General features: G+C 41.9%; 1 long non-coding RNA gene and 1 pseudogene across 2 annotated transcripts in view; one reads left to right on the top strand and one right to left on the bottom strand.

Annotated features, from left to right (window-relative positions):
* The window catches only part of LOC105375318 (uncharacterized), a 32,262-nt gene that overhangs the window by 3,791 nt on the left and 11,649 nt on the right, over positions 1-16,822 (bottom strand). For both annotated transcript variants that reach the window (XR_007060342.1, XR_001745236.1), the window contains exon 2: positions 2,655-3,100. This is a non-coding gene — a long non-coding RNA (uncharacterized LOC105375318). The remainder of the gene's footprint in view (positions 1-2,654; positions 3,101-16,822) is intronic.
* On the top strand, positions 15,864-16,669 carry ARAFP1 (ARAF pseudogene 1; annotated as a pseudogene).

Genomic DNA, 16,822 nt, shown 5'->3' with positions numbered 1-16,822 from the left:
ATTACATTAGTAATTACATAAATAAAATGCCATTTCCTATTAGAATTTGTGAAGCATATAATGTTAAAAATTTTGTCTCTAAAACAGGTAACAATTTGAATGAAGAAAACAAAAATTTAATGAATGGCATAAAAATAAATTTCAAGAAAATGAAAGGTTTGTATGATGACTTAATTAAAAGAATGTAAAGGATAGAGATCTCAATTATTTGTTTTTACACATTTTGGAGGGAAAGTAACCCTGAGATAGTAAAGTGCAGAAAATAATATTAATTATATTCTTGAGTTTTCAAGCCCCTCTTACTGACCTTAGTACTTACAGAACATCCGGCACAGGCCCACCAGGATTCCCTGGGTGTTTCTGCCAAGGAGACTATCCAGTGGAAATGAAGCAGACAGCCATGTGCACAAAGATGGATGGATGCTCACCTCCAAGAGACTAGTGGGTGCAGGTTGCAGAGGGAGTTGACCCTCTTGGAGGTCCAGGGAGGGGCTACGGGCACCATCCTTGAAGAGGGTCCTGGAACTCCACTGAGCCCTCCTGCCTACGGGGGCCTTAGAGGGTGCCCTGTCCTGTCCGTGGCCCCTGGGTCCTATCTCACCCGCTAGCTTTTTTTTTTTTTAACAGAGGAATCAAGGTGGCAACCCCAATGCAGCCTTGCTAGGGAAAGGATCAAAAGTGTCAGGGCCCACATCCATCTTGGAACATTAAGTGACTGATTAGTAAATAGGTTAGGAAAGAATGTGCTGTTGTGGTCCCCTGGGATCACATTCCAGGAGGGAACCTGGGTAGCAGCTGCCTGAGGCTGTGCACTGGAGGGAGGCTGGACAGCCCACCTGGGCTTCAGTGATCCTGGGCCCCCAGCTCTCCTGGGGAGACATGCTCTTGGCCAGAGCAGACAATGAAGGTGGCATCCAGAAGACATGCTGAGCTGTCAGGTGGGCACAGAGGGGTAGGCATGAGGGGTCCTTGGGGGTAGAACCCTCTCAGGGCCCTGAACTTATCCCAGAGACTCCCCAGCCTTTCAAAGCACAGGCCGTACCTCAAGCTGCATGATGGGCACAGTGCAGTGGCCTGGTGAGAGTGGAGTGAGCAGCCAGTCAGTTCATTTTCCTGATCAGCAAATTGAGTCTCCAAAACCATAAGCCACGTGGGGCAAAGGCACTGGGCTGAGGCATTACCTTCTTTGTTCTCTGGCCTCCATAGGCCTCTGACCTTCCTGGGCTTGTCTGAAACTGGGAGAAGATCCCTCTTCCTTGTGAGTGTTGATGTAGAAGCCACCACTCATGTGTGGTAAGCCCACCCACAGTCACTCTTGTGGGCCCACCTGGGCCTCCTCACTCTACTGGCCTGTGAAACCCAACTGGCATTCCAGAGTCCAGAATTCACATTTGGTTCCAGAACCAAATAACTCAGCACCGAGGCCAGAGCAGAAATGGGCCTGTTCATTCCATGGCACAAGGCCCAAATCAGAGAACTGGCCTGACTGTTCTGCTGCACCCAGGCAGTGTGTGTACTGTTCTAAGTAGGTCTCATCCTCTTTCTGCCTCCAATTATTTGACCTGCAACTTGTCATTTATACCAGCTCTTTCTCTACCCCACACATCTTATGGTTTGCCAAGCACTAAGGGTCACAATCCTCCTGCTCATTCATGCTGTGGCAGGAAGAGAGATCTCTCAACCTACCTTGACACTTGTATCAATAGTACCAACTCTAGGAATAGAGCTCTCACATACTCAGACTCGTTTCTGGCTTCCATACCAAGGAATATAGCAGAATGAAAAGGAAAATAAGACACAGACCTGGCAGTTCTGCCCTTTAAAGGGCAGCTTCAGGCTGGTCACCCTAAGCCACAATTTGAGGGTCTGGTTCAGCATGACATGTCCCATCTTGGAAAATAGTTGGGCTGGAACAAAGAGCCCCAGAATTTCATGGTCCAATGGTAACCTGGAGAAGGAGCACCCCAGCAGCCTTTACACATTCAGTCACACCTGTTTTAGTAATGAAACCCACCAACTAAAGAGCCATCTCATTCACTTGAAAAACCACACCAGCAATGTGTACAAACTTCAAGCCTTTTGGATAAGCTCCTATCAACCCAGAGATGTAGAAAGAGGCACAAACTTTTGAATCTAGATGCTCAGTAGAAACAGCCTCCACTTCCTGAACCACCCTGTATGGCAGATGCAGTTGACAATGGTAACTTGACTTGGGCATACCTGAAGACTGACCCTGTATGGAAAATGTTTCTGAATGAGTGTTCAGAGTTCTGAGCTAAGGAATCTAGGAGCAGCCAACCTGGAGATTCACTATTTATCTATAAGGAACCTCTGAGCTTCTGGCCTGTCTCATCCTGGGCCATGGAATGCAGGCCATACAGGATATTGAAGCCCTTCACATTGTGTTAAACGAAGGTTGCCTGGTGAAGGTTGTTCAGGTGAAGGTGCTAAATAAAAATGCTATACAAACTGCATGCATTTTGCAAGTGAGTGTGGTTCTCCTGCTCAGCCCACTGACACTAGACTCCCTCCCCTCTATGTAAGCCCCCAGTAAATCTCCATATCTCATTCACTGGCTCTGGGTCCCTTCCTCAGCCTCTTGAACCTGCTGCCATTCCCATGGGAGTAGATGGGGATTTTTTTTCACAACATACCCCACAGGGAGAGTAGATTTCAGGCTCTGCTAAGTGTGCTTCAGAGCTCACCAGGGCATCAGCTCTAGAAGGATGCAGTTGTTCTTTGCACCACCCCCGATCCTGTCTTCTTTTTCATAGATGCACAATCAGTGGGATACCAAGGAGAATGAACAAGGAACACATCGTGGTCAGGAGCAAGACTGATGCAACAATAAGCAGTAACTACTTGGAAACCCAAAGGGAGCATTTTTTCTCTTTCCTATGGGCAGCCCTCAACTTTTGTCCTCACTTCCTGGCCTCAGTGATGGGTTTTGAGCACCATCCTGCCTCTGGAGGCACCATGGGCCCTGCTGGTAAACGCCTTTACTGAATCCTGGTGCAGGAAAGCTTTCTCATGACAAATATGACCTCTTCTCTGTGATCATCAGCTTCTGGGCAATCTGAACAAAGCACGAACTAGAAACCTATAAAATGGAGAAGAGTAGGTCTTAGGAAAACATATGCCCACTTTTTCCCTTGGCAAGTTCAGACAGCAACTGTGAAGGCAGATGGACGTGTAGAAAATGATAGCATTCTATAACTCCTCATCATGTGAGTTTACCATCAGGAGTTTTTAATTCTAGCTCCAAATGGGAACTGGAAGTCGCTTCACTGTGCATCTATCAATGATTGATTGCACAACTTTTGTCTATCATACTGAGGAGACTTCACTGGATGTTTTTCCATTGAACATATAAACATAAAGATAAAAATAGGGAAAGGTGAAATAGCAACTCCATAATCATCAAACAAAGTGTAAGAATGTTACTCTCACATCATTAACATTTTTGTATAAATTTCCATGCATATTTACCCATAAAATGAACATTTTAATAATAAATCAGCTCTATGAAGTCAAAAGAAAAAGCCAATTAAATCATTTTCTCTTTTTTAACAACAAAGAGACACACATATGGTCCAGACATGCCCTGATAGAGTGGAGTGGGTGTGGGTCCTGTCCTGGGAAAGGGGAGGAAGGGCAGAGTCAGTGCTCTGGATCATGTGTTGAGGTGAAAGATGGGACACAAAAAAAGAGGGAGTCAGGGCCTTGACCAGCAACACTGAGGCTTGCAGGGGCCTTCTGCAAGCAACAGACATGGCCTGCAACACTGAAGGCTAGATAGGCCAGTTTCAATAAGAAGATCTGCCCAGACATCTCAGCAACTTTGCTGGGAGGCCCTGACTACACCTGGATTGGATACTCCTGAAGTAGAATGGCTTCCAGAGAGCCACACACACAACGGTCCTGACCACTACGGCTGGGAAAATCTAAAAGAGCCAATTTCTTCTGTTTTCAGAGGCTCAGGTGAGTGGAGACCAGTTAAGACTTCAGTGAAAAACCCCTGAAGAGACAGGGTCTTATAGGTTTTTACCCCCTAAAACCCAAACCAGCTGGCCACCTTTCTCTCTCCTCCATGCCAAGGACACAAGCAGGGCTTCTTGTAGACATCTCTGACCCCTCTGCCTGCGATGCAGCCACCTGAACATTTTGCACAACAGAAGAAGGTGAGAGAAGTACGAGGGCAGCTGCACCAACCTTGTTTTGGTGGGCACCCTGGCCCAGGCTGCAGACAAAGCTGTGGGCATCAGGTGGTGGGCAATGCACCTACCCTCATGCCACTCCAAGCTGAAGCTGCTGTTTCTTCAGTTTCTTGAGCACCCAGTTTAGGAATGACTTGAGATTTGCCCTGGTGCTCTTAGATGGAGGTTGGGAATAGCAATGACTCCTGGCACCCTGGACCACCTTGCCTAGATAGCAGCCGTTCCTGCCCACACTGCCACCAAGTGGCCCCAGGTGCCTGGTTGTCCTGTTTTCCCTTCTCCCACAGCTCACCTTCTCCTCTGACTTTCCTCAAACCCCACTCCTCCATATTCTCATAGTGAGGTGCCTGGCTTCTTAGAGACAGAGGACCAGCCCAGATCTTAGTTCCTGAACATGTGGAGCAAGCAAGCAAGGAGGTCGGGAGAAAAGTCATCTATGCCTCAAGGACTAATAACAATTTTCACACACCAGAAAAAAGTAAGGTGTCCAGTTGGGGACTACAGGCCTCAATTTTGTTCACGTCTTGCCTTGTATATATTGATTTTTTAACATTTAAGTTCAGAGGTACATGTGCAGGTATGTTACATAGGTAAATGTGTCATGGGGATTTGTTGTGCTGATTATTTCATCACCCAAGTATTACGCCTAGTACCCATTCATTGTTTCTCCTGATCCTCTTCTTCCTTCCAACTGCCACCCTCTGATAGGCCCCAGTGTGTGTTGTTCTCCTCTGTGTGTCTATGTGTTCTCATAACATAGCTCCCACTTATAAGTGAGAACATGCTGTATTTGGTTTTCTGTTCCTGCATTAGTTTATTAAGGATAATGGCCTCCAACTCCATTCATGTCCCTACAAAAGACATGATCTCTTTCTTTTTTATGGCTGCATAGTATTCCATGGTGCATATGTACCACATTTTCTTTATCCGGTCTATCATTGATGGGCATTTAGGTTGATTCCACGTTTTTGCTATTATGAATAGCGCAGCAATAACATGTGTTTGAATGTGTCTTTACAATACAATGATTTATATTCCTTTGGGTATATACTCAGTAATGAGATTGCTGAGTTGAATGGTACTTTTGTCTTTAGGTCTTTGAGGAATCGCCACACTCTCTTCCACCTGGTTGAACTAATTTTCACTCCCACCAACAGTGTATAAGCATTTCTTTTTCTCTACAATCTCACCAGCATCTATTATTTTTTGACTTTTTAATAGCAGACATTCTGAATGGTGTGAGATGGTATCTCATTGTGGTTTTGATTTGCATTTCTCCAGTCATCAGTGATGTTGAGCTTTTTTCACATGATTATTGGCCATCTGTATGTCTTCTTTTCAGAAGTGTCTGTTCACCTCCTTTGCGCACTTTTTAATAGGGTTGCTTTTTCTTATAAACTTGTTTAAGCTACTTATAGGTGTTGGATATTAGACCTTTGTCAGATGCATAATTTGCAAAAATTTCCTCTCATTCTGCAGATTGCCTACTCTGTTGATAGTTTCTTTTGCTGTGCAGAAGCATTTTAGTTCAATTTGATACCATTTGTTATTTTTTGCTTTTGTTACAATTGCTTTTGGCATCTTTGTCATGACATTTTTGCCTGTGCCTAGCTCCTGAATGATGTTGCTTAGGTTGTCTTCCAGGAGTTTTATAGTTTGGGGGTTTTATATTTAAGCCTTCAATTCATCTTGAGTAAATTTTTGTATATCGTGTAAGGAAAGTGTCCAGTTTCAATCTTCTGCATATGGCTAGCCAGTTATCCCAGCACCATTTATTGAATAGGTAATCTTTTCCTCATTGCATGGTTTTATCCAGTTTGCTGAAGATAAGATAGTTGTAGGTGTGCAGTCTTATTTCTGGGTTTTCTATTCTATTCACTTGGTCTATGTGTTCTTATACTAGTAACATGCCCTTTTGGTTATTGTAGCTCTGTATTACACTTTGAAGTTGGGTACCATGATGGCTCTAGCTTTCTTCTTTTTGCTTAGGATTGCTTTGCCAATTTGGGATCTACTTTATTCCCACATGTATTTTAAAATAGTTTTTGTCTAGTTCTGTGAAGAATGTTAATGGCACTTTAGTGGGAATAGCATTGAATCTACAAGTTGCTTTGGGCAGTATGGCCATTTTAATGATATTGATTATTCCTATCCATGAGAATGACATGCTTTTAAATTTGTTTAATTTTTTTCTTGTTTCTTGGCTGGTGTCAAAGGATGCTTTATCCTGTTCAGGTGAGAAGTCATAAAAATACACTTAATTTTATAATGTATTTATTGAGAAATCTATATTATCTTTGTGTGAGCAAAATCCTTTGTGATTTGAAGGTAATTTTTGAAAAATTTTATAATTCTGTATCCATTGTAGGCATCATTTTACAACATTTTTTATTTTATTTTACTTTGAGTTCTGGGATACATGTGCAGAACATGCAGGCTAGTTACACAGGTGTGCATGTGCCATGGTGGTTTATTGTACCTATCAACCCATCATCTAGGTTTTAAGCCACACATGCATTAGGTATTTGTCCTAATGCTTTCCCTCCCCTTTTGCCCCACTCCCCAACAGGCCCTGGTGTGTGATGTTCCCCACCCTGTGTCCATGTGTTCCCATTGTTCAACTCCCACTTATGAGTGAGAACATGTGGTGTTTGTTTGGTTTTCTGTTCCTGTGTTAGTTTGCTGAGAATGATGGTTTCCAGCTTCATCCATGTCCCTGCAAAGGACAGGAACTCATTCTTTTTTATGGTTGCATAGTATTCCATGGTGTATATGTGCCACATTTTCTTTATCCAATCTATCATTGATGGGCATTTGGGTTGGTTCCAAGTCATTGCTATTGCAAACAGTGCTGCAATAAACATACATGTATGTGTGTCTTTATAGTAGAATTATTTATAATCCTATGGGTATATACCCAGTCATGGGATTGCTGGGTCAAATGGTATTTCTGGTTCTAGATACTTGAGGAATTGCCACATTGTCTTCCACAATGGTTGAACTAATTTACACTCCCACCATCAGTGTAAAAGTGTTCCTATTTCTCCACATCCTAGCCAGCATCCATTGTTTCCAGACTTTTTAATGATCGCCATTCTAACTGGCGTGAGATGGTATCTCATTGTGGTGTTGGTTTGCACATTTCTCCAATGACCAGTGATAATGAGCTTTTTTTCATATGTTTGTTGGCCACATAAATGTCTTATTTCGGGAAGTATTTGTTCATATCCTTCACTCACTTTTTGATGGGGTCATTTAGTTTAGTTTTTTCTGGTAAATTTGTTTAAGTTTCTTGTAGATTCTGGATATTAGCCCTTTGTTAGATGGATAGATTGCAAAATTTTCTCCCATTCTGTAGGTTGCCTGTTCACTCTGATGATAGTTTCTTTTGCTATGCAGAAGCTGTTTAGTTTAATTAGATTCCATTTGTCAATTTTTGTTTTTGTTGCAATTGCTTTTGGTGTTTTAGGCATGAAGTCTTTGCCCATGCCTATGTCCTGAATGGTACTGCCTAGGTGTTCTTCAAGGGTTTTTATAGTTTTAGGTTTTAATTTAAGTCTTTAATCCATCTTGAGTTAATTTTTGTATAAGGTGTAAGGAAGGGGTCCAGTTTCTGTTTTCTGCATATGACTAGCCAGTTTTCCCAGCACCATTTATTAAATAGGGATTCCTTTCCCCATTGCTTGTTTTTCAGGTTTGTAGAAGATCAGATGGTTATAGATGTGCGGTATTTCTGAGGCCTCTGTTTTGTTCCATTGGTCTACGTATCTGTTTTGGCACCAGTACCATGCTGTTTTGGTTACTGTAGCCTTGTTGTATAGTTTGATGTCAGGTAGCATGATGCCTCCAGCTTTGTTCTTTTTGCTTCTGATTGTCTTGGTTATATGGGCTCTTTATTGGTTCCATATAAAATTTAAAGTAGTTTTTTTCTAATTCTGCAAAGAAAGTCAATGGTAGTTTGATGGGAATAGCATTGAATCTATAAATTACTTTGGGCAGTATGGCCATTTTCACAATATTGATTCTTCCTACCCATGAGCATGGAATTTATTTTTTCCATTTGTTTATGTCCTCTCTTATTTCCTTGAGCAGTGGTTTGTAGTTCTCCTTGAAGAGGTCCTTCATGTCCCTTGTAAGTTGTATTCCTAGGTATTTTATTCTCTTTGTAGCAATTGTGAATGGGATTTCATTCATTATTTGGTCCTCTGCTTGTCTATTATTGGTGTATAGGAATGCTTGTAATTTCTGCATATTGATTTTGTATCCTGAGACTTTGTTGAAGTTGGTTATCAGCTTAACGAGTTTTTGGGCTGAGACAATAAGGTTTTCTAAATATACAATCATGTCGTCTGCAAACAGACAATTTGACTTCCTCTCTTCCTATTTGAGTACGCCTTATTTCTTTCTCTTGCCCAATTCCCCTGGCCAGAATTTCCGATACTATGTTGAATAGGAGTGGTGAGAGAGGGCATCCTTGTCTTGTGCCAGTTTTCAAAGGGAATGCTTCCAACTTTTGCTCATTCAGTATGATATTGGCTATGGGTTTGCCATAAATAGCTCTCATTTTGAAGTACACTCCCTCAATACCTGGTTTACTGAGAGTTTTTAGCATGAAGGGATGTTGAATTTTATTAAAGGCCTTTTCTGCATTTATTGAGATAATCAGGTGGTTTTTGTCATTGGTTCTGTTTATGTGATGGATTACGTTTATTGATTTGCGTATGTTGAACCAGCCTTGCATCTCAGGGATGAAGCCAACTTGATTGTAGTGGATAAGCTTTTTGATGTACTGCTGGATTCAGTCTGGCAGTAATTTATTGAGGATTTTCGCATTGATGTTCATCAGGGATATTGGCCTGAAATTTTCTTTTTTTGTTGTGTCTCTGCCAGGTTTTGGAATCAGGATGATGCTGGCCTTATAAAATGAGTTAGGGAGGATTCCTTTTTTTTCTGTTATTTGCAATAGCTTCAGAAGGAATGGTACCAGCTCCTCTTTGTACCTCTGGTAGAATTCAACTGTGAATCAGTCTGGTGCTGCCTGGGCTTTTTTTGGTTGGTAAGCTATTAATTACTCCCTCAATTTCAGAACTTGTTATTGGTCTATTTAGGGATTCAACTTCTTTCTGGTTTAGTCTCAGGAGGGTGTATGTGTCCAGGAATTTATCCATCTCTTCTAGATTTTCTAGTTCATTCGCATAAAGGTATTTATAGCATTCTCTGATGGTAGTTTGTATTTCTGTGGGATCAGTGGTGATATCCCCTTAATCATTTTTTATTGTGTCTGATTATTCTCTCTTTTCCTTTTTATTAGTCTAGCTAGCAGTCTATCTATTTTGTTAATCTTTTCAAAAAACCAGCTGCTAGATTCATTTATTTTTTAAGGCTTTTTTGTGTCTCTACCTCCTTCAATTCTGCTCTGATCTTAGTTATTTATTGTCTTTTGCTAGCTTTTGAATTTGTTTGCTCTTGCTTCTCTAGTTCTTCTAATTGTGATGTTAGGGTGTTGATTTTAGATCTTCCCCACCTTCTGATGTGAGCATTTAGTGCTATAAATTTCCCTCTTAACACTGCTTTGGCTATGTCCCAGAGATTCTGGTACATTGTGTCTTTGTTCTCTTCGGTTTCAAAGAACTTCTTTATTTCTGCCTTAATTTTGTTATTTACCCAGTAGTCATTCAGGAATAGATTGTTCAGTTTCCATGTAGTTGTGCAGTTTTGAGTGAGTTTCTTAATCCTGAGTTCTAATTTGATTGCACCGTGGTCTGAGAGACTGTTTGTTGTGATTTCCACTCTTTTTCATTTGCTGAGGTGTGTTTTACTTCCAATTATGTGGTCAATTTTAGAATAAGTGCTGTGTGGTGCTGTGAAGAATGTATATTCTGTAGATTTGGGGTGGAGAGTTCTGTAGATGTCTATTTGATCTGCTTGGTCCAGAGCTGAGTTCAAGTCCTGAACATTCTTGTTAATTTTCTGTCTCATTGATCTGTCTAATATTGACAGTGGGGTGTCAAAGTTTCCTACTATTATTGTGTGGGAGTTTAGGTCTCTTTGTAGGTCTCTAAGAACTTGCTTTATGAATCTGGGTGCTCCTGTATTGGATGCATATATATTTAGGATAGCTAGCTCTTCTTGTTGCATTGATCCCTTTACCATTATATAATGCCCTTCTTTGTCTTTTTTGATCTTTGTTGGTTTCAAGTCTGTTTTACCAGAGACTAGGATTGCAACCCCTGCTTTTTTTTGCTTTGCTTTCCATTTGGTTGGTAAATATTCCTCCATCCGTTTATTTTGAGCCTATGTGTGTCTTTGCATGTGAAATGGGTCTCCTGAATATAGCACACTGATGGGTCTTGACTCTTTATCCAATTTGCCAGTCCATGTCTTTTAATTGGGGGCATTTAGTCCATTTACATTTAAGGTGAATATTGTTATGTGTGAATTTGATCCTGTCATCATGATGCTAGCTGGTTATTTCGCACATTAGTTGATGCAGTTTCCTCATAGGGCCATTGATCTTTATATTTTGGTGTGTTTTTGCAGTGGCTGGTACCAGTTTTTCCTTTCCATATTTAGTGCTTCCTTCAGCAGCTATTGTAAGGCAGGCCTGGTGGTGACAAAATCCCTCAGCATTTGCTTGTCTGGAAAGGATTTTATTTCTCCTTCGCTAATGAAGCTTAGTTTGGCTGGATACGAAATTCTGAGTTGAAAATTCTTTTCTTTAAGAACGTTGAATATTGGCCCCCACTCTCTTCTGGCTTGTAGGGTTTCTGCAGAGAGATCCACTGTTAGTCTAATGGGCTTCTCTTTGTAGGTAATCTGACCTTTCTCTCTGGCTGCCCTTAACTTTTTTTCCTTTGTTTCAGCCTTGGAGAATCTGATGATTATGTGTCTTGGGGTTGCCCTTCTCAAGGAGTATCTTAGTGGTGTTCTCTGTATTTCCTGAATTTGAATGTTGGCCTGTCTTGCTAGGTTGGGGAAGTTCTCCTGAATAACATCCTGAAGTGTGTTTTCCAACTGGGTTCCATTCTCCCCATCAATTTCAGGCACACCAATCAATTGTAGGTTTGGTTTTTTCACATAGTCCCATATTTCCTGGAGGCTTTGTTTGTTCCTTTTCATTCTTTTTTCTCCAATCTTGTCTTCCTGTCTTATTTCAGTAAGTTGATCTTCAATCTCTGATATCCTTTCTTCCACTTGATCAACTTGGCTATTGATACTTGTGTATGCTTCACAAAGTTCTCATGCTGTGTTTTACAGCTCCATCTGGTCATTTATGTTCTTCTCTAAACTAGTTATTCTAGTTAGCAGTTCCTGTAACCTTTTATCAAGGTTCTTAGCTTCTTGCATTGGGTTATAATATAGTATTTTAGGTCAGAAGAGTTTTGTTATTACGCACCTTCTGAAGTCTACTTCTGTTAATCCGTCAAACTCATTCTCCATTCAGTTTTGTGCCCTTGCTGGAGAGGAGTTGCTATCATTTGGAGGAGAAGAGGCATCCTGGTTTTTGGCATTTGCAGTATTTTTGTGCTGGTTTTTCCTCATTTTGTGGATTTAGCTACCTTTGATCTTTGAGGCTGATGACCTTTGGATGGGGTTTTTGGGTAGGGGTCCTTTTTGTTGATTTTGATGTTGTTGCTTTCTGTTTGTTAGTTTTTCCTTGAACAAGCCCCTCTTCTGCAGGTCTGCTGCAGTTTGCTGGAGGTCCACTCCAGTCCCTGTTTGCCTGGGTATCACCAGCGGAGGCTGCAGAACAGCAAAGACTGCTGCCTGCTCCTTCCTCTGGAAGCTTCGTCCCAGGGGGCACCGGCCTGATGCCAGCTGGAGCTCTCCTGTATGAGGTGTCTGTCCACCCCTCCTGGGAGGTCTCTCCCAGTCAGGAGGCATGGGGATCAGGGACCAACTTGAGGAGGCAGTCTGTCCTTTAGCTGAGCTCAAGCACTGTGCTGGGAAAATCCTCCTTGTCGGGATCTGCTGCTCTCTTCAGAGCCAGCAGGCAGAAACGTTTAAGTCCACTAAGGTTGTGCCCACAGCCACCCCTTCCCCCAGATGCTCTGTCCCAGGGAGATGGGAGTTTTATTTATAAGCCCCTGACTGGGGGCCGGGCACGGTGGCTCACACCTGTAATCCCAGCACTTTGGGAGGCCGAGACGGGCGGATCATGAGGTCAGGAGATAGAGACCATCCTGGCTAACACGGTGAAACCTCATCTCAACTAAAAATAGAAAAAAACAGCTGGGCGTGGTGGCGGGCGCCTATACTCCCAGCTACTCCGGAGGCTGAGGCAGGAGAATGGCGTGAACCCAGGAGGCGGAGCTTGCAGCGAGCAGAGATCATGCCACTGCACTCCAGCCTGGGCAACAGAGCGAGACTCCATCTCAAAAATAAATAAATAAATAAATAAAAATAAGCCCCTGACTGGGGCTGCTACCTTTCTTTCAGAGATGCTCTGCCCAGTGAAGAGGAATCTAGAATGGCAGTCTGGCCACAGCCGCTTTGCTGGCTCTGTTGAGTTCCACCCAGTCCAAACTTCCTGGCCTCTTTAAAACTGTTAGAGGAAAACCGACTACTCAAGCCTCAGTAATAACAGACACCCCTTCCCTCACCAAGCTCGATCATCCCAGGTTGACTTCAGACTGCTGTACTGGCAGTGAGAATTTCAAGCCAGTGGTTCTTAGCTTGCTGGGCTCCATGGGAGTGAGACCCTCTGATAAGACCACTTGGCTCCCTGGCTTCAGCCCCCTTTCCAGGGGAGTAAACTGTTCTGTCTTGCTGGGGTTCCAGGCGCCACTGGAGTAACAAAATAAATTCCTGCAGCTAGCTCAGTGTCTGCCCAAACAGCTACCCAGTTTTGTGCTTGAAACCTAGGGCCCCGGTGGTACAGGCACACACGGGAATCTCCTGGTCTGTGGATTGCAAAAACCGTGGGAAAAGAATAGTATCTGGGCTGGATAGCACAGTCCCTCACAGCTTCCCTTGGCTCGGGGAGGGAGTTCCCTGGCTCCTTGCACTTCCTGGGTGAGGTGATGCCCCACTCTGCTTCTGCTAACCCTCCATGGGCTGTACCCACTGCCTAACCAGTCCCAATGAGATGAACTGGGTACCTCAGTTGGAAATGGAGAAATCACTGCCTTCTGCGTTGGTCTCGCTGGGAGCTGCAGACAAGAGCTGTTCCTATTCAGCCATCTTGCGCCAAACAATCCCACTTTCTCTCTTTTTGCTCCCCAAAGTCACTAAGGTCTTAAGAGCTAACATTGTAGATCAACTTTGTATTTGTATACATGTTTCATTACAGAAAATTTAAAACATATACAAAATAAAGAAAACAGTATAATACGCCTGTTACCCAGCTCAACAACCACTAATAATGTGCCAAATTTGTTTTATGTATACTCCAATCCATTTTCTACCCAGACTTTATTCTTTATTATTATTTTTTTCAGAGGTAAGATGTGTGCTAATTGAAGGTAAAATCTTGGCTGAGCACAATGGCGTAAGCCTGTATAATTCCACCATTTTGGAATGACAAGACAGGAGGCTCACTTGAGCTTAGGAGTTTGAGAGCAGCCTGGGCAATATAGTGAGACCACATCACTACCAAAAACACACACAAAAAAATGAGGCATGACGGTGCATGCCTGTATTCCCAGCTACTTGGGATGCTGACATAGCAGGATCCCTTGAGTCTGGGAGGTTGAGGCTTCAGTGAGATGCGACTGGGCAGCTACACACAAGCCTGGGTGACAGAGTGAGACTCTGTCTCAAAAACAAAAGAGAAAGATTCAGTCTTAACTGTACTTCTTAAAACATCAATACGCACATATAAACAATTTTTCTTTTAAGAATAGAAGTATCCAAGTTAATAATCATTACTGTAAACCCATTTGTTACTCAGACTTTATCTTTTAATTAGGTTTTTAAAAAAGTAAGATGTGAGCTCATTGAAAGGTCCAATCTTGGCCAGAAATAGTGGCTTGCATTTGTAATTCCATCCCTTTGGGAAGCCAGAGCTCAGGAGTTTGAGACTAGCCTAGGCAACATAACAAGACCTCACTAGGGCAACATAGTGAGACCTCATCTCTACAAAAATTTTTAAAAAATTAGTTGGGCATGATGGTGCACACTTGTAGATGGTGCAGTTATTTGGGATGCTGACTTGGGAGGATTGCTCGAGTCTGGGAGGTGAAGGCTGCAGTGAGCTGTGATTGCATCACTACACTCCACCTTGACTGACAGATTGAGATGCTGTCAAAAAAAAAAAAGGTACAATATTAACTGTACCGGATTGACACATCAATACATACATATAAACAATACCTCTCTTAAAAATAAAAGTACCCCACTGAAAAATTATTGATATGCATGGGAATTACCTACACATTTTTAATTTGTTTTGGTTTGGATTTTTATTGAAAGGAAACACCTAGAAACATTACCTAAAATCTAGATTTTGATAAAAATAGGGAGAATTTCAAAATAGTCATGAGTTTTGTCTGAGAATTTGTCTTTCTAACAAAGTACAGATGTTACAGCACATGGTAGATACAAGGTCTCTTTTATTTAAAATAAATAAAATTTGATGAATAAAAATTTTTAAATTTGACCTGAGGTTAAAGGACAAATCAAAACACCTGTGCTATGTGTTATCTGTAGAAGTATATTTTTAATAATGACATAAACTATTAATAACCAAAAAAGTTATAATAATTTATTAACCAAAGTGAGCAAAATTCCTATTATGGTATCTATGGAAATGCTCTCTGCTGGGCGTGGTGGCTCACGCCTGTAATCCCAGCACTTTGGGAGGCCGAGGCAGGTGGATCACGAGGTCAGGAGATCGAGACCATCATGGCTAACACGGTGAAACTCCGTCTCTACTAAAATTACAAAAAATCAGCCGGACCTGGTGGCGGGTGCCTGTAATCTCAGCTACCTGGGAGGCTGAGGCAGGAAAATGGCTTGAACCTAGGAGGTGGAGCTTGCAGTGAGCCGAGATCGCGCCACTGCACTCCAGCCTGGGCGACAGAGCGAGACTCCTCTCAAAAAAAAAAAGAAAAGAAAAGAAAAGAGAAAAAAAAGAAAAAGAAATACTTTCTTAGAGTAAAATATTCTCTTATCTTGCAAGGGCACTGGTTAATAACAGTGATGATTTGGAAGTCAATGTCTCATAAAGTAAGTAGCAGACCCTTTTCACACTCATAGCTGGCCTTCGCAGAGTTATCGAAAAAGTGGTCATTTACATGAGAGCAGATAATTTTCTTAGGTTCTATTAAGTTTATATGCTAATGTTTTTACAAAATTTAAATCAATTTTCTTATAAGATTATAAGACAAAATTTTATGTTATAATATCACAATATACTACAATATGTAATATAATGTAATATAATAAAATTTTGTCCAATATGATGTCATATTATTATAATTTATGTTATTTTATAAAAAATATAAAATATATTAAAAAATCAAAATGTTATGTTATGATATCACAATGTATTATACCATATATATTATGGTATAATATATTATGATATCACAATGTATTACATATGACATCATTATATAATGTCTGACATATATTATATCGCAACATATTATATTATGTTACATATTATATTATATTATATTATATTATATTATATTATATTATATTGTCCAGCTAATTGACATGGCCCCGCAGACTGCCTAGGGCATGAACTACTTCCATGTCAAGAATATTATCCAAGAAGATCTCAAGTCTAATAACATTTTTTGACACAAAGGGTTCCCGGTAAAGATGAGTGACTCCCGTCTGACCACAGTGAAGACACAATGAAGCAGGGCCCAGCCCTTGGAGCAGCCTTCAGCCTCCATTTTATGGATCGCAGCTGAGGTGACTTTCATGCAGAACCTGAAACCCTTCAGCTCCCAGTTGGACGTCTATGCCAGTGTAGCTGTGCTCTAAAAACTCATGAATGGCTCACTGCTTACAGCCACATTGGCAGCTGTGACCAGATCATCTTTATGGTGGGCTGTGACTCTTTGTCCCTGGACCTCAGAAAAATCTCCAGCAACTGCCCCAAGCCATGCGGTACCTGCTGTCTGACTGCCTCAAGTTCCAGTAAAAGGAGTGGCTCCTTTTGCCACAGACTCTGGCCACAATTTTTCTGCTGCGAGGGTCACTCCCCAAGATTGAGGGAGATACCGCTAAACCTTCCTTTTATCAAACCCAAGCTGATGAGTTGCCTTCCTGCCTACTCAGCACAGGCTGTCTTGAGCCTTAGACCTCACTCCCAGCCACTAGGAAGCCAATCTTAGCCCGCCATGCCAAGGACCCTTGCCCACCAACTAATCAATGTTTTATTGCTGTTCTGATGTTGCGTCAGGATCTCATATCCCCCACCCTGCTAGATGAGGAGGTCCCCATGTGCTTTCCCAGTTCCTCTAAAATTGAAAAACTCTTAAGGATTGAGCCCCTGCCCTGCTCCATCATTTTGTTTCTTGGCTTAGGAGATACCTCTAAATTTGGGGAATTCCTTCATCTCATATGGCTAAATTTTCTAGCAGGGATTTCACTCAGAACCTCTCTGGAATGTATGCCTGACGTGAATTCCACTGGACTTTGGGGTT

This window comes from Homo sapiens, chromosome 7 (genome assembly GCF_000001405.40).
Source record: "Homo sapiens chromosome 7, GRCh38.p14 Primary Assembly".
NCBI classification, from domain to species: domain Eukaryota; kingdom Metazoa; phylum Chordata; class Mammalia; order Primates; family Hominidae; genus Homo; species Homo sapiens.
Note: the sequence above shows the minus strand (reverse complement) of the source record. Positions and strands in the feature narration are given on the sequence as shown.